The 25396-nt window shown below is 34.6% G+C and overlaps 1 protein-coding gene across 7 annotated transcripts in view, besides 3 other annotated features; it reads left to right on the top strand.

Moving 5' to 3' along the window:
- Nucleotides 1–25396, top strand: part of KCNH7 (potassium voltage-gated channel subfamily H member 7) — a 467361-nt gene that overhangs the window by 82363 nt on the left and 359602 nt on the right. The window lies entirely within an intron of this gene.
- Nucleotides 22844–23073: an enhancer, noted in NCBI's record as "active region_16722". NCBI's record gives its function as "activates an Ori minimal core promoter by ATAC-STARR-seq in GM12878 lymphoblastoid cells {active_cell/tissue: GM12878}" and the evidence as "EXISTENCE:reporter gene assay evidence [ECO:0000049][PMID:35858748]".
- Nucleotides 23980–24189: an enhancer, noted in NCBI's record as "active region_16721". NCBI's record gives its function as "activates an Ori minimal core promoter by ATAC-STARR-seq in GM12878 lymphoblastoid cells {active_cell/tissue: GM12878}" and the evidence as "EXISTENCE:reporter gene assay evidence [ECO:0000049][PMID:35858748]".
- Nucleotides 24220–24399: an enhancer, noted in NCBI's record as "active region_16720". NCBI's record gives its function as "activates an Ori minimal core promoter by ATAC-STARR-seq in GM12878 lymphoblastoid cells {active_cell/tissue: GM12878}" and the evidence as "EXISTENCE:reporter gene assay evidence [ECO:0000049][PMID:35858748]".

The raw sequence follows: 25396 nt of genomic DNA, 5'->3' as shown, positions 1-25396 counted from the left end.
AAGTGTCACATCAACAGCATTAATGAAGAGTCTAATATATGGCAGAATTTGTCCTAGGTCCTGGGTATAGCAGCCATTCCATTAGTAGAGTTTACATTCAAACCTATGACCTTAACTAGAATTGGAACATTGGTACATCATTCAACCTCTTTTGGTTGTTTCTATAAGTAAAATTGACCTCTGGTTTAGCTCATACTATTAAAATATTGATTTACTTCGAATGAAAGATTTATACAATTATATCAGTCTCTTGATGTTTACTGAATAATAAAACTAGTATGTCTTTTTATGTTTATTTTATAACTCACTTATGATGATTAAGTTATGAAAACTCAAAAACAGAATTTTAGTCAACATAATTAGAGTAGAACCCTTGAAATGTGAAGCATTAAATTAAAAATATCACTTGTTTCTCTCTATTTCTCTTAACTTAGTGTTTTGATAATACTAAGATCTTAATATACCTAATTCAACCACAATAAAGCAGATATAAATAAGACTATCACTCTGGTTGAGTATACACCACTTCTAGATTTCTTCCTCATTTTAATTTAGATGTACCAAGTATATGCCAATGATTTTTTTTCCAAAATATATGTTGACTACAGCTCATAGTTAGTATTTCATGTCATAACATACATAATATGGTAAATGTTTTCATAATTCAATAATTAAATAATAGTATCTGTCTAAATATGTCTGTATTGGATTGAAATTGTTATCATACTTTAAAGTAGGTATACTGTACTTCCTTCAACTTGTTTTGCTAAGAGCTATTCAATGTGAACATCTTTAAAATAAAGCCCACGATCACACAGTGTCACACAAGGATTCTAACTAAACACTCCTGAGTGAAACATGTGGGTAAACAAACTACATTAAATAAAGAAAATTGGTAAACTTTTAGATTTTGTTTTGTTTTGTTTTGTTTTTGAGATGGAGTCTTGCTCTGTTGCCCAGTCTGGAGTGCAATGACATGATCTCAGCTCACCACAACCTCTGCCACCTGGGTTCAAGTGATTTTCCTGCCTCAGCCTCCCAAGTAGCTAGGATTACAGGTGCCCACCACCAAACCTGGCTAATTTTTTTTGTATTTTTAGTAGAGATGGAGTTTCTCCATATTGGTCAGGCTGGTCTAGATCTCCTTGACCTCAGGTAATCCACCTGCCTTGGCCTCCCAAAGTGCTAGGATTATAGGCATGAGCCACTGTGCCTGGCCTTTTTTTTTATGTAATAAGTACATGTTTTAACATCAACCATATAGAAAAGATCCTCTGTTCTAAAGAAATAAAATAAATTCTTTTGGAAAAAGTGTTAATTTTTGTTGCTGTTGTTCTAGAGAAAAAACTGTCAGAGAATCTTAAATAGGAAAAATGCTATAAAGTAGGAAGCTTTGTATTTCTGGGAAGAGTGTTATTGTGGCACTTATTAGATTCACGACAGAATAGTTGATTCCAGCCCAATGTAGACTTAGTGACAGTAAATTCGTATATTTATTTTAGACCAAAATTAATTCCTTGCAAAGTGACTCTTGTTCTAAGCACTCCACAAGAGCTGCTTTCTCAACAGTCTCCAAAAGTTTGCTAAGTCCTAAATACAGTGGCTTCTTCATAATTCATTTTTTCTTTGCATTTTATTGCTTTGGATTTAAGGACATTACTTCCTGCTGGTTTTACTTTTCTCCATCTCCTTTTCTAGCTGATTTTTAAAATCCATCTCTTAAATCTCGTACTCTCTTAAAAGTCAATGTAAGTTCCCCAAGTTTCTTTTCCTGGACTTGCTCCTATGGTCTTGTTTCAACAATTGCATTTTTTTCCTGTAATTTATAAATGTACAGATCCAACCCTGGTTTTTTACCTGCTACCTGGATGTCTCCACATTGAAATCCTACTAATACCTCAGTCTCTCTTCCTGTTGAAAACTGCACTAATTATTTTAACTATTTTCTTTCAAATCTTTTGCTGGCTCATTCATTAATTTAATTTTTGCTAGAAATCTTAATTTTCTTTTTACAATTTTTATACCCTCCCTATCCCTTGTTATAAAAGTAATTGCCAAAGTTGTCGATTCACTCTCTGTGATGTCTTTCTTTTTCGTTCTCTTTCCATTTTTCCTTTTCTCATTTCTACTACTCTTGTACAGTTTCAGACTGCTGCCTCTTGATCTATTGTAGTAATCTCCTTTCTCCCCTCTCTGTTTTCAGTTTCTTCCTTCTCAAATTCACCCTTTGTTATTATGAAAGTCATTGTGTTAGTTTGGCATTATGCACTCTGGGAAATAAAAGGCTATTTCTAAGGATATTATAGTGGAAGTAACAAATATCATCATCATTTGATAAATAAACTATATTATTCTCTTGTATTTGGATAGTGTTTTATCTTGTTCAAAATGCTTTTATATTCATAATTCATATACATTATTGTAAATATTAAAATATTGTTATTTATTATAATATTTAATCAAGCTTAAAATGGGAAAATATAAATGATCCACTTATAAACCATGTGGGCTACTAATCTGCAAATAGGTCCTTTACAACTTGACTACATATCAATTATGAGTTTTTAAGAGAAAGAGAAAGCAAAAAGAGAAATTAAACAGGAAAGGGAAATGATTCTTGAACCCAAGTCATTCATCTAGGAAATCTTACAGCAAAGAAGGGTGAGCAGCTTGTTCCAACCTAATCTAAAAACTATAAAATGAAATAATCCCATCTGTGGCAACTCCTCTAGGATCCCAACCGAGAGATTACAGAATTAAAGTTTTTAGTTCCAACAGAACTGACTCCAACTAACATAAACAACAAATTATTGAAAAAAAATATAAGGCATTCTCCAACCTGAGTTGTTGGATTCACTTTAGCACCACCATTAGGATAGAATAGAACACCCAGAGTTTTCAGCCTCTTTGCCATCTGCTCAGAATTTTTTCTCATGATTCAGATTCCAGGGAGCAGGCATCTGAATGGCCTGGTTTAAGTCCTAATTCGTAATCTATCTCATAAGCTTCTGTGAAATTATAAGGTATATTTTAAATATATAAAATAATTATGACAAAATTGTGTATGTGTCCATTTCTGTAGGAGATTGAAATTATATGTGAGTATCTTCCACATCAAACTAGGCCAAATTAAACAAGCAAAAAAATAGTGTGAGGAATATTTGGGATGACACAAGATAATAAATATCAAAACTACCCCAGCAAATGTTATCCATTCTCACGATGAGCAAACAAGTAAGAAAGAAACAAAGACAGGGCCAAATTATAAGCAATTTTAAAATTTAGGGTTTCCTCTTGATTTTTAAATTATTTTTGATGAAGTTCAAATATTTTCTTTAGGAATCAAACTAGGATTGATTATTATTAGTCAGGGTTTCTTTTCTTTTCTTTTCTTTTCTTTTCTTTTCTTTTCTTTTCTTTTCTTTTCTTTTCTTTTCTTTTCTTTTCTTTTCTTTTCTTTTCTTTTCTTTTCTTTTCTTTTCTTTTCTTTTCTTTTCTTTTTCTGAGATGTAGTCTTGCTCTTTTGCCCAGGCTGGAGTGCAATGGCGCAATCTCGGCTCACTGCAACCTCTGCCTCCTGGGTTCAAGTGATTCTCCTTGTCTCAGCCTCCTGAATAGCTGGGATTACAAGGCACACACCATCACACCCGGCTAATTTTTGTCATTTTAGTAGAGATGGGGTTTCACCATGTTGTCCAGGCTGGTCTTGAACTCCTGACCTCAAGTGATCTGCCTGCCTTGGCCTCCCAAAGTGCTGGGATTACAGACGTGAGCCACTGCACCTGGCAGGGGTTCTTAATCTTCTGTTGTGCCGTGTGTGTGCCTCTTTGACCATTCTGGTGAAGGCTTTCAAGCCAAACTGAGAGTAAATTTTTAAATCCGAAAAATATAATTCATAGGAAATGAATTGACTTAATTAAATAATTAGTTAAATGATTTTCAAAATATGATATGAAGTTTATGACACATAAATAAGTTTGCTTCTTCAATAACACATTAAATAAGAAAATGTAAGGTAATGATTTCAAAGAAATGACATGTATCAATAACAGTTTGGGATATCTACAACATTGTAGTTGATATAAAGCTATGTTTATTTTCTATTGGCAACAAAGTGGTAGAAATTTTTAATGTCCTTGAGCTAAAAATTTTTTCCTTCCAAATTAATGGACCCACTGAACCACAGTTAAGTCTCTGACCTAGGCTAATTTCAAAGTATGACCCTGTCTGAACATAGAAAAAGTATTTAGATGACTTCTGCTTATTTTATCCTTATGTTTTCACCTGAAAAATTACTTTTATTTAAACATTGATGAGAAAATCATAGACAAAAATAAGGAAGTCATTAACTGCCTTGTATTTTTAAAAAATGCAAGCTACATAGTGGAAAACAAGCAAATACTTAAGAAAACAAACAAATTATTTTTTCTTGAAAATCACTAGAAATTTTATTCTAGTGTTAAAAATATTATTTTTTTCTTTCTGCTGGAAAATTCAGTGAGTTATAGGGGTATATTCTTTTTAACATTTTTGAGATAATATTTTATATCATGAATTATTTGTACAATCAACCTTCATCTTAGGCAAATATAACATCAGTTATATTTAGAATAATGTTTAGTTAGAATATAAAATGCTTTTGTATTCATAATTCATATACATGATTGTAAATATTAAAATATTGTTATTTATTATAATATTTAATCAAGCTTAAAATGGGAAAATATAAATGATCAACTTATAAACCATGTGGGCTACAAATCTGCAAATAGGTCCTTTACAACTTGCCTACATATCAATTATGAGTTTTTAAGAGGTAGAGAAAGCAATTTGTAAAAAATTCTTTTTAACATTTTTGAGATAATATTTTATATCATGAATTATTTGTACAATCAACCTTCATCTTAGGCAAATATAACATCAGTTATATTTAGAATAATGTTCAGTTAGAATAATGTTTACTGTGATGTACAAAATACAAATTATGGCAAAAAGGTGACAGTAGGAGAAAAGCTAGTGTGGAATTTAATATAAGCAGAAAAAGGTAAATTAGTAAATTACTTCTCTAATTTATTGTATTTACCCTTTTTATACAACATTCTCCTAGTAGAACAATATATAATAATATAGTACTTTGGTGAAAAATAACTTTGCTTTATAAAGCACAGCCTGAATTTCTACTTTTATTTTAATCCATTCTTGGAAAAACATGAATAACTTCCTCTTAAGGGAAAGGTTAAATATAATGTTATATGAGATAAGAAACCCAAGACATCCAGAAATCTGATGAGCCTAAGTATCACACCAATGGACTCCTATGCTGTGACCATGCTATGCTTGTAAGAGTGCTCAGGAAATAGTCGGTTGTTGTTGTCTTGGTTTTTTTAACTTGGCCTAGAAGTTGAATATAAGGGAACTAGTCTTGGCAAATTCAGAGGGGGAAGAAAAAAGCCAGTTAAATTTTAAAACTGGAGAATTGAAAATATGTATTTATTATAATATGAAAAATGAAGAACAGATATTCAATGAGGTTTCTTCAGATTTACTGTATTTTCCATATAAATATTGAGAGGCATAACTTTCTTCCCCTCTTGTTCCCACGTGTGAGAATTTGAACAAAAATAATTCCAAGGTGAGACATTCTTCCATGCACCCAAAAAACCTGTCAAACACAATTTAAATACTTTTGAAAATTAAATAAATCAAACTGTCTTACAATGTTAAACATATCTATTAACTTACCCTTTAACTTTTATAAATGGCTTAATGTAATTCTTATACCTCTGTAAATTATCTCTATAATAGGTGTATCATGTAAGTTCATTAATTAAATATAACCTTAACTTGGAAAATGTTTTATAATTTATATTAATTCTTTTGCACACACTTTATGGGTTATGTTAATTATCTGACTCCTAAAATCATTTTATTCATTTTAACATGAAGCTGATGCAGTTCTAAAATCATGTTATTCTTTAAGTCTATCCAGAATTGCTAAGTCTTTTATTTCTTTTACTATACAGTATATGCTAAAATTTATCCAGTTTTTTTTATTTTTTAAATTTTTGCTCCCATGATTTTTTTCTTCTCTGTGAGATTAAAAGTTAAGTTCTAGGGCCTTCTCTGTGCTTTCTGTCTCCCTTCAGGGCACAGCAAAGCTGTTGTTGACTTTCTCTGTAACTCATTAATCCATTGCTACCTTCTTGATAGGCACCACTTGAAGCTAATGCCGATGTGTGTTCTGTGGACTCCTTGGCTTTGCAAAGGCTGATTTTCTGTCACTAATGATTTTAAAGTTTTCATCCTTATCTCCTCCATGTTAATGTGTTGAATCCAGAGTTGTCATTCCTTTTAATTAATCTGATTAACCTTCCTAGGCTATCTAAGTCCCCAGTGTAAGTTTTATGTTTGAAATCAGAGAAGCCCCACTTTCCAGGTTGTTAGTAGAATAAAATTGTTTAGTTATTAAAAAGATTTACCTATTTCTATTATAGAATTTATTTCATTTTACCTTCATGCTTTACCCAACTCTCAGCAGGAATGTTCTTTTCCTTTCATTCAATTCTTATTATCATCTTTAAATTTTAATCATTTCTATGCTATGCATTCTTTTAAAACCCATAGAGACGTGCTATACTCTATGAATTTGCCCTTGAGATGTATTGCTTTTGGTATTATCTGTCATGTACTTCCTGCCCAACTATAATTCAAGTGTCTTGGAGATTGACTAACTTGAGGATTGGCTGACTCCTTCAATCTTTGGTCAAACGTCAGCTACTTAACATAATTTACAATTTAAAATTATTTGTTAACCCCTCCCCCAGCACTTGTCATTGCTACATTCCTGAACCCCTTAGTCTGCTGAATGTTTTACACATTACTTCCATAACATGTTATATAATTTACTTATGTATTATTTTTATTATGTTGTTGTTTCAGCCTAAATTAGGACATAAGCCCCACAAGAGCAGAGATTTTTGTTTATTTTGATCACTAATGTATTCTGTGAATCTAGAGGAGTATCTAATATTTAATTTGCGCTCCAGAAATGGTTACTGAATGAATGAATAGTATCTATTTTCTGCTTTGTATCCCATTTCCATATTCCTTAACATTTAGTGCAGTGTGTTTAAAAAAAAGGTGATCGAAAGTCTTAACTGGGTAGATCTCCAGTCAAAAGAAAGAGCAAAAGAGAGAGAAAGAAAGAAAGGAAAGCAGAGGAAAAGAGAAGAAAGGGGTGGAAAATGGAGGGGAGGGGAGGGGAGGCAAAGGAAGGGAAAAAGGAAAGAAATATAACCACTTTGTTCTCAGTCCTAAAAGTTTAGAATATGTACTTGCTTCTGAAAACTCTTCAGAAAAATTCTCAGGAACTGAGATATTGTCTTCTGTGCTTTTCAGTGCAAAAGAGAGGAAAGAAGGAAGGAAGGAAGGAAGGAAGGAAGGAAGGAAGGAAGGAAGGAAGGAAGGAAGGAAGGAAAGGAAAGGGAAGGGAAGGAAGGAAGGAAGGAAAGAAGGGAGGGAGGGAGGGGAAGGGGGAGGGGAGGGAAGGGGAGGGGAGGGAGGGGAGAGGAGGGGAGGGGAGGGAGAAGGATTAAAGATATGTCTGTTAGGTTTGGCTCTGTGGAATATTGCTTTGTTAGTTTCATATCTCCTTTGTTCGTGGTCATCATCTCCATAATCTTTAGAGTCATTGGAAAGTTATCACAGAAGAGAACAGCAACTTGTAAACTAATATCAGAAGATTCATTCCATTCTGTCTGGCAAACTTAAATTTTGGAAGAAAAACACTTATAAGGAAGGAAAAGAATGTCTGTTTAGCCAGTTGAATCAATAAGACTACTACATTTAGATAATGGTAATGCATGAGGAGTCTTCTATTTTCATTTCATCTTTAGTGCCTTGGCATAGGTATTTTATATTCCACATGTACACACACAAAAAAAAATTGTTCATCAAACAGCTTGACTAGGCACTGAAAAATGAGAAACTAAATGAAACTAGATAAGGGCATAAAAACTTAGTCCATCTCATCTCAGTGAAAGAACTATTGTTCTAGATGAAAAATATGTGAAACATGAAAAATTCAACCTGGATATCACTTGGTAGCATATGGAATTTTAAAACTACAGTGAAGACACTTAAGACACATACACAGAAGCCATAACAAAACCCTATGGTACAAAGAGTTCTATATTGTGTTCTGGGTACCCCACAGGATTTCCCCAAGGGCTATGAAATAATGAGGTCCCAAGAGTATTTGCCTTTCCCTTCTGCAAGTAAGTCTACATAAACCGTGTTTAGTGTTTAGTGCTTTTTAAAGACTTTTCATTGTAAAATATTCTTATTTATCTCCAAAGATTATAATTTGAAAGTTCACCATTAGCTTTGGCTCTCAGGTAACCATTTCTGTAAACCATAAAGGGGCTGTAAACCATAAAGGGGCTGCCAAGAAAGCCAAGAATAAAAAATCAGAATAAGTATTTGCTCGTAGTGAAGGTAGGCACTTTATAGACATTTGTGCATCTTCCTTCTGGACCACTGTAGAAAGTACTTTAAGTAGTTCTTATGAGACACTGGGTCATGATATAAAACATTTTTCCTTTAAAAATGTTATATAAGTATTGGGTGCATATGAGTATCGAGGATTCCATTCTATAATAGAAGTCATAACATCAAACTACCTGGTTAGTTTTGCTAGCTTTCAGTCGCAGTGTGCTCCATTTTACAGGAAGCCTTTAAATTCAATTTATCTGGTAGAGTGATTTCAATTAGCAAGCCAGTCTTATACCCTCTTGAACTAGACTATTGGGTGGAATATTGAGTTCAGTTCTGCCTACACATTCGCTGTCACTCCACAAAATCCCAGCTGTTCAACTCACACCCAACTAGAATGTACAAACAACACTTTTTAAACACATCAACAAGAAGCAATAAAAACATAACCACTTGTTCTCAGTAGTAAAAGTATAGAATATGTACTTGCTTCTGAAAACACTTGGAAATAATTCCCAAGAAATGAGATGCTGCCTTCTGTCCTTTTCAGTGCTAACAGATCAAAGTTCTTGATGGTTTCTTTTATTATTTTTAACTCTCACTGTTGTTAAACCCTCAAAACCTAACCCCCATTTAAATAAAGCTTCTTTTTAAGATTCACAGTTTTCTTACTCATTCAACTGCTGTTCACACCAGATGGCTTTTTTGCTACCATATTTTTAAGACTTTTTTTTCTTATCTCTTCATCCAGCTCCTTCTCCATTCAATGGAATACTCAGTCTGCTACAGTCTGGAGTTGAAGTTTAAAATTCTGAAAATAAATGCATTAAGAATATTTTATAGGCAGTTTTTGTATCTTTATCCAACAAAGTGATTAAGAATTTTCATACTTTTTTTCTTCTTTGCTACTTTGACTCCTTTATCACTTTCATGTGGACATAAAAATCTAGATTTTTAATTATCAGTGGCTAAAAGGATCATTTAAAACTTCATGGTAATCCAAGAAAGAGGAAGAAAAGAATCTCTGCTGGTTTTTTTCCTCTTTTATTTCATCCTGACAATTTTGAAAGGCTTCATGGACAACTCAAGTTTTAATTTTTACAATGCTGTCATTTAAATTTCCTGTGATAATTATACTATCCATAAGTTTTCTTTGCAGAAATAAAAATAAGCAAAGATGATTTACTCATAGTTTACACCATATTTACTGTGTAAATTTATTGATATTTTATCTGACTTTGAATTTCCATATCTGATTTAGGTTTACAGCAGATTTCATTAAACTTTCAAAACCTTAGTGATTTCATGAAATTTGAATTTTGAACAAATCTGGGCTGTTCAAGTGTGATTTATTATGTCAGGGAAAAAAAAGTGTAAAGTCTGGCAGTGTGAGATGAGTTTTGAGTTTGAGTTTTCTGGTTCATTTAAGCCAGAATCTCAGAGAAAACCTCTAGGGACAAGAACCCACAGGAACTGTAGCTGAATTCACTATAAATATTTTAAAGATAAAAATACTTTCTGACCTCTAACTAAAATTCTTTTTTATATGTTAACACTCAAAACATTACTGTCCAAATCATTCATCTTTTTACAGGCTATAATGACAAATTACTATTTGAGTATCTTAAATTTTACCGTAGCATTATTAAGAATGATTCTGCTGCAATCCACAGTGAATTTTGTAATTATTAAACCCATTTTCCACAATATCCATTTCCATATTTATATCAAAGTTCCAGCTTGAAAATCTAAAAACCAATATATCAAAAGAAAGGGAGGTTAAAGGAAAATAATTGTTTTATACTTATTTTTAAAGATATTCAAATATAGGGACTACAACAGTGACATTTTACCTTAGATTTATAATAAATAAAGTTTATTAGTTTCATTTTGCAAATTCTTCATATGTAAAAATAATAGTCTTTATAAAGTTACATCAGTTTCAGTATCAATATGTTAGCTGAGCTGGGAGGTAGCAAACTTTGGCTTAGAAAAAAAAAGCATGCAACACACTGAAGTGCTCCTTAATACTTTTTTTTCTTTAAATCTAAACATCAACTGGGAAAAAGCAGAAAGATTTTTTTTAAAGGAAAAAAATCTAAGACATATAGAATTGTAGAGATGTTTTATCTAATACATGCTTAGAATAAATTATATATTACCTTTTTTTAAATTTTGGTTGTCTTAAATTATGATTAAACAAAAACACTTCAAAAGTAGAAAGTGGTATACTGCCATATATTTTATACTACTATATTTAGTATCAAGTTTGTCCTACTGGAAAATGTCTTCTGTGGTGACTATTGATTTTTCCAAGAAAATTTATTTAAAGAAAGGCAATAGAAGTCATGCTTACTATTTCTTGTTTAAAGGAAATTGTTATTGAAATTATCTGGTATGATTTTTATTTTCAAACTAAAAGAAAATCTAGATTAGAAGGCTTAACCTACATCACTTCCTAGATACTCTATGTAATGTTCTTTGTCATTTATTTGCTCTAAATAACGGGTTCTTTAGTTTAAAAAAAAAGCCTTCAGGTAAAGACATTTATTTTGTCAAGCTGCCGTTATAAAACCTAGATCAAATGCAGTAAACGAGTAGAGGTAAGTGAGCCTCTTTTAAGGTAAATGAAGCTTAAAACAGAATTGAGATTGAATCGACAAATGGCTATGTCAAATTGCTTCATATTTCATGATTGTCAACCAGACCCCTCTGTATGCTCTCTCTGGTCTCTAATGGGCTAGAAGCTCTACTAGTCAAGTTCACAAAAAGTCAAGGATTAATATAAGGATATTCTCAAATTTCAGTGTTTTAATGTCTTCTAGGTACAAAGCATCTTAGAGAATTTTAGCTGCCTGAATATCAGTAGGTAGATATGCAAAAACCAATGAGCATGTCTCCAACTTCTCTTGCAAAGTGTTTGTTTACTTGTATGTGGGAACCAGCCAAAAAGTTAAGTGGTGTCTGAGTATCAGCAGGACTGACACACCAATCTTGTTTCTGGAATCACAGGTTAGAGTTGTAATTAAAAGTTCTGTCGGCCGGGCGCGGTGGCTCACGCCTGTAATCCCAGCACTTTGGGAGGCCGAGGCGGGCGGATCACGAGGTCAGGAGACCGAGACCATCCTGGCTAACATGGTGAAACCCCATCTCTAATAAAAAATACAAAAAATTAGCCAGGCGTGGTGGTGGGCACTTGTAGTCCCAGCTACTCGGGAGGCTGAGGCAGGAGAATGGCGTGAACCCGAGAGGCGAAGCTTGCAGTAAGCGGAGATCACGCCACTGCATTCCAGCCTGGGCGACAGAGCGAGACTCCGTATCAAAAAAAAAAAAAAAAAAAAAAGTTCTGTGAATTAGAATATAACTGTATGTGTAGAACTAAACGGTCAGGACACAGCTAATGAGAATGTGGTTTTGAGAACTAGGTGGAACTGTGAATACCTGCCTGGTAGGGAAGCTTGTTTACCTGGGGAGAACTTAATTACAGTGCATTTAAGGAAAAATAACAGAACCATGAGGGAAAAGAAAGGCTGTTGCTTAATCTTAAAAGGTTTTATTGACAGCAATTATACATTTTGGAGAAATTATCAAAAATTAACATTTGTTTCATACAATAAAAATGCTATCAAGTTCTCCTTGACAATGAGTATTTTGGGACAATTTATATTGCATTTAACAAGGTGGGCCCTTATGGTCTTTTAAATCCTCTGTGATTTGAGACATAAGTAGTCAGGCATGTTTGTCAGATTTTCCATAATCTGACAAATGGATATTTTTGCAAGGATGATTTATTTCCTATTTCTTTATTAATTGTTCTACCTCCCTAATGATTTCTGGGTCATCAGCATTTTCAGGGTATGGCGAATCCGTGCATTATGTGGGATTTGAAGTAGAAAACTAGTCTCTCCCTTGGTGTCTGTAAAATATCTTGAAATAAATCCATTTCACCAGAACTTAAATGAATGTGAAATTTGCTAGATAATTTTGTCAAGGTGGTTATTCCGTTTTACCCACTAGTATTATATATGAAAAAATATTTTAAAATATATTATTTCTCTTTAGATGCATTTCTTGATAATGTGTCATAATTCTTACTCTGTGATTAAGGTTTTTATGAGTAACCAAGGAACTGGTGTTCGAGAGTGGCATAATTTAAATTTTAAGGACATCTTTACAATCAGTCTTTCTTATTTTTATTGTATTTGTTGTCATTGTTGACAATTTGCTCTAGACTACTGAAATTTTATCTTTTAACAATGTCCATTGATTTACAGAGCCACTGCATTGAAACATTTTATGTACCTCTAATTTTTAATACCAGAAATATGATAAATCTGGTATTCTATGTTCCGTGACCCTACATTTTGATTCCAGTTCTTAACCAAGTTTTACTTCTGTTAGTAAGTTTGTGCTCTGTAATTTTTTCATTTTTTCTTTGGTAACATTCTACATTATTTAATATAATTTTGACTTTGAAAATAGCCTCTGGTTTGTCACTTTTATTTAATCTTAAATGCATTCATCTTTTATTTTCTTTCTCTTTCTTTCCTCCCTTTTTTTACTTACTGTTACCACTTAGAAATTGCTCTTTCTGAAGCTTTTTTAAAATTAATAATTTATTTATTTTTTGAACAAATGCACAAGGCACACAATTCAAAATGCTAAAAACGGTATGCAAAAAGGCTGTCACCTCTGGCCATTCAGTTCCACTTGCCAGAAGTTAACATGGTAACCAGTTACAGAGAGAGATGCAGATGGTAGACTCTGTCATACAGAGGTATATAGCAACTAACAGGGAGAGCGTGGGTTGAGAGGGAAATCAATGAAATAAGAAGCAGCAGCAACTAGTGAGAGACTCACAGAAGGGAAGCCTGAGCACCAAATATGGCTGACAATTAGAGTTTCTGCTGGGTCCCCATAACCTGTGTCAGGTTACTGAAAGCAAAGAATAACATTCTAGTTTACCTAAAACCTGAATGTATTACTTCTGAAACAGTTCTTATTCTTCTGTACTTTTTATCTTGATTTAAAACAAAAGAAAACAAAAAAAATCCTTCCACTACCTGAATTGGAGCATGTCTCTAATTTTTGTCACAAGAGCCGTTAACATATGTCACAAGCAAGATATGTATCTTTGCTAAACTTCAAGAGTACCATCTATATCATAGGGAGGTCTCTTGCTCTCTTCCTTCTTCTCTTCTGTAGTAGAAAGTTAATACTGTAATGCAGAGTGAAAAGGATAAGGCCTAAAGTGAAAATATCTGTACTGTTTTAAACATACAATTAGTTGAATTGCAGATAATTTGCCTAACATTATTATGTTTTCTCTGAATAAATATTTTTAAAACTTTTAGTTCTCAAGAGAAAAAAGAAAATATAAAGCATTCAATTTTTATTAAGGAATGAAATATAAAAAGTGTAATGTGCAAAAACATAGATATCAGAATGGATTAAATATGCCAAATATATTTATATCAACAGTAGATTCAAGTGAACATTTAACTTCTAATAATAAGAAAAAGTATTTTATTTTATAGCCAATGAAGAAACAAAAGGAAAAATTAAGAAAGGAAGTGAGGGGAAGCCCATTTTACAACCACTCCATTAACAAATATAAAATCAAAGAGAAAAAAATAAATTAAAAGATAAATTAAACCAACTCTTCGTGTCATTCTTATGACACCCATTGCTCTAGATCATTTCCAGGTCACATGGATCTTAACTATCCATACCACTCCTACTTCTGGGTTATTTCATTCCTTAAAACTGTGTTTCTGGTAGAATCAACAAGGCAAATATCTAGAGATGTGGTCTTCAGGTGCAGAACTTTTGATGTCTTAATTTGTACCTAAAATCATCTCCTGCTCTTAAAGACATTTGTTATTCTCCATGCAAGCTTTGGAACACTGATTATCCCACATCAAGTGATAAAATAAATATATTTTCAAAACAAAGTATGAAGAAATCCAGCCATTCTATGCATCTATAAATCTATTCACAGGAAACATGACTGCTTTAAAGAAAATAAATTATATTAACTTCAAGAAAACGAGACATTTTAACATTTAAAAAGTTTCAGTATCTTATGTATATCTCACATTGCTTCATAAAAATGACTGTATATTTTGTAAAGGGTTCTAATGATGTAGGAAAGTGCCTTGAGAAATACAGTGTTTTATAAAACTCTACATAAACATAAAATACCATTATGTTTATGTTTTGAACTGCTAGTTATTCATATTTCTTAAAAGGGAAATATTAAACATTATAAAAGCTGACATGTTCATACTTGACATGTAGAACCTGCAATCAATTACCAGGCTGTTGACTAAAATGGAATTACAAAAATTTATGAGCATGCTGGTAAAACAGTTGTGATAGATGGATAAAATATTTAATATGTAGCACATAGCATGTAACATCAAATCATATATAATACAATGGTATATAACATTGTATAGTATAATAATGTAAAATATACATGACAACTCTATTACAAAATGCTTTTGCTCTCATTTTTTGCTTTGCTTTTTAATTTAACATGAAAATAGCATGTTATTAATATGTATAATTAATAACATATGTTATTAATATGTGTAATTAATAACATATGTTATTAATATGTATAACTAATAACATATGTTATTAATATGTATAACTAATAACATATGTTATTAATATGTATAACTAATAACATGTTATTAATATGTATAATTAATAACATATGTTATTAATATGTATAATGCTAGCATATCACTATGCCATGACATGAAACTAAATACCCCTCTCCAAAGCATGGCTTTAATTTTATACTTAGAAGACTAGGTTAAGTTGTATCTGGATCTGCATAACAGTTAGTCAATTATCATGTATTTCTGAAGCCTATATCATAGCAAGATTTTTGAATCAAGATTCATAGAGAACTCCTAATAAACACTAGGAAAAATCCAAGTCCTTGAGATGACAACAAACCCACATAGAGAAAACTACCAAACCCAGAAAGTCCGAAAAAGTACTTTAGAGGTACACACTGACCATAAGATCCATAGCATTTCCAATGACTTGGCAGGGCCTGGAATGGTAATGGGAAGAGGAAAGGAAATTGCAGTTGAGGGACTAGAGCAAAGTCACAGAGATGGAAAGAGCAGAAAGTTCAAGGAGTGTTATTAGATGGCATTCCCTGATGTAGAGTGGAAGGTAACTGTTGAAGATCTGGCCAGGAATTAAGAGAACTTGGACCTGCTGTAAGATTGACAGGCTGAGTACACCAGTCTCAGGATTCAAATTTGATTTCTATTGAAACATCATTACCGTTGTTGAGCACGGTATGACTGTAATAAAGTTTTCTGTATTCTGTGCCTTTCTCTTTAATTCGATGTACTCCTGAATCTTGCCTGCAGACACAAACTCACTTCCCTCCAGTCTTTGAGGCAGGTCAGCCTACCCACCCACTCCCATCTGGTGCTGATTGGAAGCCACCTGAGTTACCAAACTTGTCAGTGCCTGTTGTGCCTGGAAGAAGCCGTGGGCTCACTTTGGCCTTTCACTCACAATGCTTCCTAACTCCTAGACAATACCTGCTTTATTAGCTGCCTAATGCCTCAGGTTTACCTAAGACTAGGACATTGCTCCAGACCCATTTTTGTATTAAGTCTTTGCCTCCTTTGAATATTTGACTCCTACTTTTTCTTCACCCCACCTTATTCCAACACATACATACCTGGTGTCCACCTCCTGGCTCGGGTCCTGACACAAAAGGATGGTTTTACCTGAGCAATGATAACTTAACATTATCATCTTTCACTGATTCATCAGTGCTTTTAAGTACCAGGCATGGAACTAGAACCACCCCAGGTACTGACATGTCACACCTGTCTGTTACTTCTGACATAGTGGCCTCTTGGGGCACTGGTCTGTGAACTACTTGGCTCCTCTTATTTGGATTAGTTTCTGCAATCCAATTAATTCTCCCCATTTACAGTGCTTTAATGAGTAATAACTTGGACTCAATCAATACCCAGCCCTGCTCATTCATGTACTGCCATCCTAATATCCATATCTCATTGATGTGTCTTTTCTTACTAGGTCTGAATGATCATATCTTTCAATGTGGCTATTGACCTTGTATTTCTCATAGTAGAATCAGATAGGAGGAATATTATGGGGCCTGGGACTCTAACCACCCCTATGGCCAGACCAAGCTACATGGAAATATTTTGAGGAGACCCTCCCAATGATCAGGTCTCACTCAGGAACATGCCTGGCCTGGGATGGCTCACTGCAGGTCCCAGCCTCTAAGGGAGACAGAAAAATCCTGGGGAGGTTCACCTGATGACTGGGCCCCATGTAGGACCTGGAGCAATGTATTCCAGAGGCCAGCAACAGCTCAGCATGGTTCCCACTGGTGTGGATATGGAAGCAGTTAGTAGAGGTGCAAAACCAGCAGGTAGAAAAGACATGGTGCCCCAGTGATAAGGCAAAAACAAAGAACATTCAGGTGGGGTGGCTGGCAATGTGTCAGATGAGGTATCTAAGAATCCATGGCGACAACAATCAGAAATGAGAGTAGACAGTTGACATTAGGAATAACATCAGCTGGGAGGTAGTCCTTGGCCATTTAGCAGGAATTTGAAGCATGGTGTTCCTAGCCCTCAAGACTAGGGTGAATATAGTGAGAAGGAAAGTTAGAGTAAGAGTAGAACAGGCATACAAGGGAGGTTTTGAGAAAAGTAATTGAAAATGGGCACCAAGGCAGAAGCTCATTTATAAGATATGGGGCACACAGGGGGCATCTGAGGCTCCCAAAGAAGATGGGCATCAGTATTTCAGAAGGGCCTGAATGACAGTAGGCAAGGGGAACTCAGGAGAAGTTGAGCTCCCGCACAGGTTGTGATTAGCACACTGAAGAAGAAGCAGAGCAGGTGTGTCAGAGTGGGGATCCAGTGCGGAAGGATCATGAACTAGAAATTAGGCTGAGTCTGACTTAGACTTCATGAAAATGATGCCCTGCCTATAAAAAACATAAACTGCAACAGAGTTTAGCATGGATATGGGTGGAGGCATATAGGCAACTTTATTGTCGAGCTCTCAAGAGAGAGATTCCAATTACAATGTATTAAATGCTGTTTTATATTTATTTCTTTTAGTTATCCTCCAAGGAGCCCAGATGAAGTAGGTGTTAGCCAATTTTATGGATTAATCTCAGTAAGGATAAGAAATTGCTTAACAGCCAGACAGATACCAGAATAAAGGACAAACACACTGATTTTCTTTTTTTGAGCTTTTGTCCAATGTGCTCTATCAGCATCAACTCAGTTCCAGTGTTTCCTGTGGGTCTCTTGTTTTCTGGGAAGAAGTAGGTCAGATTAGGCAACATTCAATATGAAGCTGTACCTCCTGACTGAGTCTGAAAGCCTCTGTCAGCAAGTTCTGGAGAACCCTGATTAAATGAAACCACCAAGGTGAACTTGTCTTTTGAAAAATGTCAAATTAGGGCAGTGACGATCTTAATGTATAAGGGCTATGCTCCTCTGTGCTGAAGAACTCTGGCAGAGACTTCTTGGTAGTCAACAAGGGTAGGTCGTCATGAGCTTACTCAATGGCAGTTATACACAGAGGGAGTAGGGTCTTTGCATGCAAGGAGTAACAGGACATTCATGTGTATATACATACACACATATATATATGCACACACACATATCATCAGAACATGACCAATGACTTGACTATTATCTTTTAAGATTAGAATTTTTAAAAGAAACTTACACAGAAAGATTCTATCTTGTTGTAGCAAAAAGTAGAGCTGTTCTTTTTTCACAACTTTTTTTTTTTTTTTTTTTTTTTTGATATGAAGTCTTCCTCTCTCTGCCGCCCAGGCTGGAGTGCAGTGGTGTGATCTCAGCTCACTGCAACCTCTGCCTCCCGTTTCAAGTGATTCTCCTGCCTCAGCTTCCAGAGTAGCTGGGATTATAGGCATGCGCCACCATACGTGGCTAATTTTTGTATTTTTAGTAGAGATGGGATTTCACCATGTTAGCCAGGTTGCTCTCCCACCCCTGACCTCAAGTGATCCACCCACCTCTACCTCCCAAAGTGCTGGGATTACAGGCGTGAGCTACCACACCCAGCCTTTCACAACTATTTTCAAATGCCAGGCTGTATCATCCTGTGCTTGGCCCACTTTACCTTACAGCAGGGGACTGTACTTAATAGTGGAGAAACCAAAATTGTTTTGGACTCAGTAAAGTGTTTGTGATTTACTTTGAACATTATTATTTTTGTCTATTAGTCATTAATATAATTTTCCTGAAATACAATATGTGATTTGGAAGGCCTTATTTTAGTCTTCTTGCATATATATTCCTTAAGAGGGGTCTTATTTATTTCAATATATATAGCTAAAGTTCTATATTTTATCTTGCACCCAAATGATAGCAGAACCTTGACTCTTTCCTCAAATATTTCTGAGAATGCTTGGAATACTGGAATACTCTCACTGTCACTCTGCCTTGGTCTCCATGTCTCCTGTCCTCTTTCTGAAAACACAAGGCTCCTTCTGGCCTTGTGTTTTGCAAGGCTACTCTCTCTCTTCTGATCTATAAGCATGAACAGGGTCCTCTCTGAACCCATTAGCAGCTGCTTCTCTTAGAGCTTACGAGCCCTTACCTACTGCTCTTGGCCCCCATTTAACTCAAGGCAGAGAAAGCCAACTCATACAGACCAGGATCACTAGCCCCAGAGGTGCTTGGAACTACCCTTTCTGTAAGCAGGTGGAAATGGGCTTCATGCTTCACTGAGAAGTTGTACACATGATCCTCTTAGAGTTTAGGAGAAGATCAAAATCTCAGTCTTTTTTGAGATTTTCTTTCTCTCTTAGTTAGAGTTTGGAGTGTGTTATTTCCAGAACCATAGTCCTTACTTTGTTTTTGTTTATTTTAGGTGCCTCGATCTATGAATATAATTGGGTAATAAAAAGAATATACTTCCCCAGTAAAGCTACTTTAGTTGCTGAATCCTCAGGAAAAAAAAAGTTATTTTTTAAGGGTTTAATTGCTAGTCATTGTGCAGAACCACAGTAAAGATAACTACATAATCTTACAGAAGTGGCCTTACAGTGGGTTCATTTTCTTTAGAAAGTTCCATTGCCTCTTGCTGTCATTCTTCAAATTCTGAGGGTACTGCTTGATGCTCTCTATCTTCCTCTGATTAACCATTACAACAGTCCAACACCCATTTGTCCTTTTGTGACTTTGGTCACCTCATAAATTGCAGCAATCCCTGTTATTAGAAGGCATCACATCACCTATAATAGGTGAGCTGTATGAATGTCCCTTAGCCACAATGAATCATTTACCTTTGGGGTAATTTCCAATCAGCAACATCATCCTCAATCTATAATCTCTCACTTTTGCTTTATAAAAGCAAATCACCTTCAGTCATTTCTTATACAAAACACTCTTCCTTAAAAGGCACTATTTTGATGTAAATCATATCTGATGGGAATCACAAAGGCATCAACATCCACAGGTTTCCAGATTTTTGAAGCTCCTTTGTAATGAGTGAAAAATTTAGAGTTCTTAAAATAATACATGCAAAAACATAACTTTAATTTCAGTTATTTTTCTATAATCACATTTAATTTTGGTTATGGGATTCCATTCTATTCAAAAAGCAACTCATTGCATGAGAAGTTTTCTTAGTCCAAACAGGATTTTTAGTCAGTGTGCCAATCCTTCTCTTCTCCTTGCAGGTTTGCCAGTGGACTCAGGGAGAAAGACCTAGTCCTGAGTCCTCACCACCTGGCCAGGTTGGCATCAGTTAACAGGAAAAGCATTCACTGATTTTTTATTATATGTATTATTATTCATCATCAACATCAGTTCCACCAGACATTACCTAAACTGTCCATTCCATTCATGGTCAAGTCATTGGCCCATACAAGTACTTCAACATTCAATTATCTTGACCATGAGGCTCTGCTGGCCTTCTCTCAGCTAACTCTAAGCCCTTCTCAAGGAGCATATTATGTGTGTAAAATTGTCACAGCTTGACGGGCTGTTCTTGCCCATTGCTCAGAAAAGCCAATGCACTGAGAACAGCAAGTATTGTAATAAAGAAAGAGTTTAATAATCGCATGGCCACCCGAGTGAAGGATAAGAGGTATTTCTCAAATCTGCCTCCCTAAGAATTTGGAGATTAGGCTTTTTAAGGGTAATTTTGTGAGCAGAAGGCTGAGGAACTGGGGAACTAAAATATTTGGCTGGGGATGAAATCACAGAAATGTCTAAACTGTCTTAGCACAGTTTGAGCCACTTCCCAGGAGGAGGTTTCAGGACAAGGTAGAAGGTTTACCAAAATACTAAATCTGCAAAATACCTCAAGGGCCAATTCTTTAAAGTTTGCAATAGTGACATTATCTATAGGAGTAGTTGGGGAAGTTATAAATCTTGTCACTTCTGGTTATGTGACTCTGGTGCCATAAGCAACTTATAGGAAAGCAAGCAAAGCAATGGCAGGTTATTTTTTAACTATGCTTATTCTTTAGCAGGATTCAAGCTCCTATTATAATTTTAACCTTGTCATGTGAATGTGGCTTCACTCTCCGAACAAGGAGAGGGTTCAATTTCCTTTGCCTCAGAGTTTATGAAGTGAATTCCTCTCATAGCTTTCTTGGCCTTCATACTAGAGTAACCAAAAACAAATTCAGCTTCTGAGATTAGAAGCAAGATGGAGTCACTCATATTAGATTTCTCTCATTACTTATAATTCTCCAAAGGCAGTTTCAAAGTGATTGGTGAGCAGTGTGTCTTGCATGTCTAGACAGATCATAGCCATTGCTTACTTTTTCACATCCTGTGAAACTTACTGTAAGCCTTGTCGTGTCCCAGGGAGGAAGAGACAGGTTCTGCTGGCTTTTAGATCACCAGATTACTAGGCTTGGATGCAAGGCAGAATAAGAAACAGGATTCAAAATTTCTTTTCAAAGACTCCCATCAACATCTAAGTTTGTTGCTTTCATTTGTGATTCCTTTCCTTTAACACCACTCTCTCCAGTCCCTATTTTCATATGTTAAAAGGATTGGCAAGAAAAATCACTGTCAAGTAATCAGATGTTTTTCTATGACTATGCTTTATGGTATAAACTTCATGTATTGAGTCCTACTGAGCTCTGGCTTTTAATATTTAAAGCCATGGTTTTGAAATTAAAAAAAAAAATGCTCTCCAATGATTTATGCCATGAGTTTGAAAAGTCCATTTTGAAACACAAAACACTCAATTTTTGTTTAAAAATCTGTACCTAAGGCAAGGAGTGCCACACTATCTTTCTGGGAGGAAGGGCTTTCATGTTGAAGAGAATCATGGTGGAAAAAAACAGCATAATGTTTCAAAATACATCCCATCATATATGGGCAGGAAAAACGCAATATCGACAAAAAGTGAGAGCTGACACCATGTCGCTTTAGTGCTTGCAGATGAAGACATTACATAAAATTAACATCTATGATCACTATAATTTCTCATTAAAAATTGTTATAAAAACATAAAAAGGTCATAATCTAAAAACAAAGCATAGTTCTCTAAATTGTTAATTCTTTTACAGATAATATGCAGCATTATAAAAAAAGAGAGAGCCACCATATTTTCCTATACATAGTATTTATCTTTGTTCCAGGAGGGAAAAAAATAAATTTTATCATGTGATATCCCAGATTCATGAAGGAATTACTATTTCTACTCAAAAATGCTACCATATTATTATGTAGAGCTTTTTGAATAAGACTTCCTAGAATCCACAATTTAATAATGGAATGAGTTTAGAAAAAAAAAACATAAATTTTGGACCAAAAAATATATCCATTCAAATTATAGTCACTGCCAGTTATTTAAATTTCTGAGCCTCAATTTACTTATTTGAAAACTGGGGAAAGCAGTAACTATACATTTAAGTAATGCTGGTGGTTTAAATGAGGTAAAGTATGAAAAATACCTGGTACATGGTGAGACTTCAGTTAATATTAATTTACATTCAATTTACTCTAGATGACAAACTAAGGAGGAAATATTTATACCATTTTACATAACAAGTGGATATTTCTATCTTGTTCTATTCACTTCCCTTTCTTAAAAAAAAATCAGGTTCAGATCACTGGATCAAATGCTCCTTCTTTTTAGGCAGGCAGGAGATTGCTGCTGATGGCTGACAAAATAAAATGCCAAAGGAGCTGAAAAGATGCATGGGTTAGCTTAGGCTAAGTTCTGCTGTGATGGAAAATGATACCAAAGTCTCAGAGGCTCACAATAACAATCACTTTTGGCTCATGCTACATGCACGTCATGAGTCTGTTTCAGCACTGCTTTGTATTATCTTTGTTCTGAGAATAGACTAGAAGATCATCCCCCATCTGGGGAAATCCTGATCCCTTGGCTGAGGGAAAAATACAGAAGGCAGATTTACATGATGGCTCTTACTGCTTCTGCTTAGATGTGGTATATTTCCCAGTTCATTAGCCAAAGCAAGTTATGTGGCCAAGCTTGATGTCAATGAGTTGGGCAGAAACAATCCTGCAATAGGGAGGGGTTTAACAAATATTTTGAACAATAATGTAATCTACATGGGCTAAAGTAATACGTTTAAAGAAGACAAAATATAGACAATAGAGAATCTGGGAACGATCCATGCTAACTACTCAGCTCTAGTTTATTTGCTTTCACACAGGATTGGCAACCTAGTCACCAAACCTGTTTTTTCAAAGAAGCTGGGAGCTGATGATTGTCGATTCATAGCTCTGAGAGCCAAGCCCACTTCCTGGAAAGTCCTGGCCCCAGAGCTCTAATACCATGTGTAGTATAAGAATTTATATCAGGTCTGAAAGGAATGGACTCCCACTGTTGCTAAATATGCCAAATTTTCGAGACAAGCTCTGAATCTGGAATTTTATATAAAATCTTTGTATTTCAAATGTTATCAATGAATTCAAGTATTTTAAAACAAAGTGCCAGATTAACAAAACATTGTTTCAGGCAAAATCTGGCTCACTGACCACAGTTTCTGAATAATGATGGAGGTGTAGAAAGAGATACCCACACTTTCCTGAATCAGCAGCTTACAAGTGGGAGAAATTTCTATTTCTAACAGGCATAACAAAAGTACCCAAAACTTGTAAAGAGCTACTGCCCATATCTCATCATGCTATTCAAACCTCACAGTAATCCTTTGAGACAGATATTAACAATTATAATTTTACTATTACAAATGAGGATATTGAGGTTCAAAGAAGCAGTGACTTGCTGATGTGAGTGCACCTTATAATTGAAAATGCAGACCACAGGATTCTCAATTCTATCTTCCTTCCATTGTACCTTGCATTCAGTTTAGTTCTACCTACCAGATCCCTAAAATGTGACTTTTAAAGCACTCTATCTTTAACCAGTAACTGGATAAATGTGAAACGCTCCTTATCCATATGAATATACTAACTCTAAGGTAGTATACCTTTTGAAGAAAGAGATCAAAGAATAAGATATCTATATATTGGGTACCTGCTTAACTTACTTTCGGTTTCCTTTTCTATATAAAACCTTTTGGTTTCACAGGTCCTTGATCATTGGTGGCATTCTCATTCACAGTCTGCATCAGAGGCTGTCACGTCATGAGTCGAATGTCCCCTTAACTACTAATATCAGCTCAGGAGATACTTTGCTACAGAAAAGGGAGAAGAGTATTGCCATCCTCTTCACACGTAGTCCCTCTAAATCGTCCTAGAATTTGCCCACTGCCAGTGCATCTTGCTCCCTACACCACTCTGGACAGTGATATCCCTATGGCCACAGAGGAGAGCAAGGTATCCCTAGAAAGCCCCTTCAACATCTGCCTAGTGTCTGTAGTTGCTTACTGTTAACTTACTTTGCCATTTAGCTGAAAACTCAAGTGCCTTAATTCTGCCAACTTTATCTGCCAGGAGTTAACAGTTCAAGTTTCTAAGCCCACAGGCTTCTTCTTATATTTATATTTTTGTAATTAGTAAATATTTCAAACACAGAAAGTAATATAATTGATATCCCTATACCTACCATCCAGCTTTACTAAATTTAACTTTTGCTGCAATTATTTCAGTTTTTAAATATACTCCCTCTAATTGTATTCCTCTGCCCTCTATAAAGTTATAACCTTTTCAGATGTATCTGCAACCCTAAATTTAGTATAGATCATTTTCATAAATATTTATGTGCTTTCATAAATATTTTATATTTTCATAAATATTTTCATGGACATTTCATAGCAAATATCCATAAAAATAAGGTATCATATTGCTTGTTTTATAAAATATTATAAAATAGCTCTACTTTCTGCACTGTGAACTTCTTGATCACTATTTGTTTATTCACCCAAATTAATACCTGTAGCACAAGTTCATTTATTTTAATTACTGTATAGGAGTCAATAGAATGAATATACAAGGATTGCTTAGTCAATATTCTGTTTATAGGCATTTAGGTTTTCTTTTTTACCTTTTATTTTCTTTTAGTTCAATATTTCAAACAAAGTTATAGAAGCAGTTCCTTATGCACATGTGCAAAAATTTTTTTGTGTATATCAATTAGAAGTGGAATTGCTGTGCTATAAATTTTACTAATATTATATATTATTATATATAATATTATACACACACACACACACATATATATATATATGTATGTATGCAGGACATGAATCCTTTAAGAGTCAAAATGCATTGCAGAAGGTCTTCTCAAGTCTCTACTTTATTTTTTCCATGTTACTTATGATTTTGTTTTCTTTTTCTGATAGAGATGTTTCTACTGTTGTCAGCTTTCCCCAACTGTTTCTCTTACATTTTGCATCTCATTTAAGAAATCCTTTTGCTCTGATAAAATAAAGATTTTT

This window comes from Homo sapiens, chromosome 2, assembly GCF_000001405.40.
Source record: "Homo sapiens chromosome 2, GRCh38.p14 Primary Assembly".
In the NCBI taxonomy this organism is placed as follows: Eukaryota; Metazoa; Chordata; class Mammalia; order Primates; family Hominidae; genus Homo; species Homo sapiens.
The sequence above is the reverse complement of the archived record's forward strand: the minus strand, read 5'-3'. Positions and strand labels throughout refer to the sequence as shown.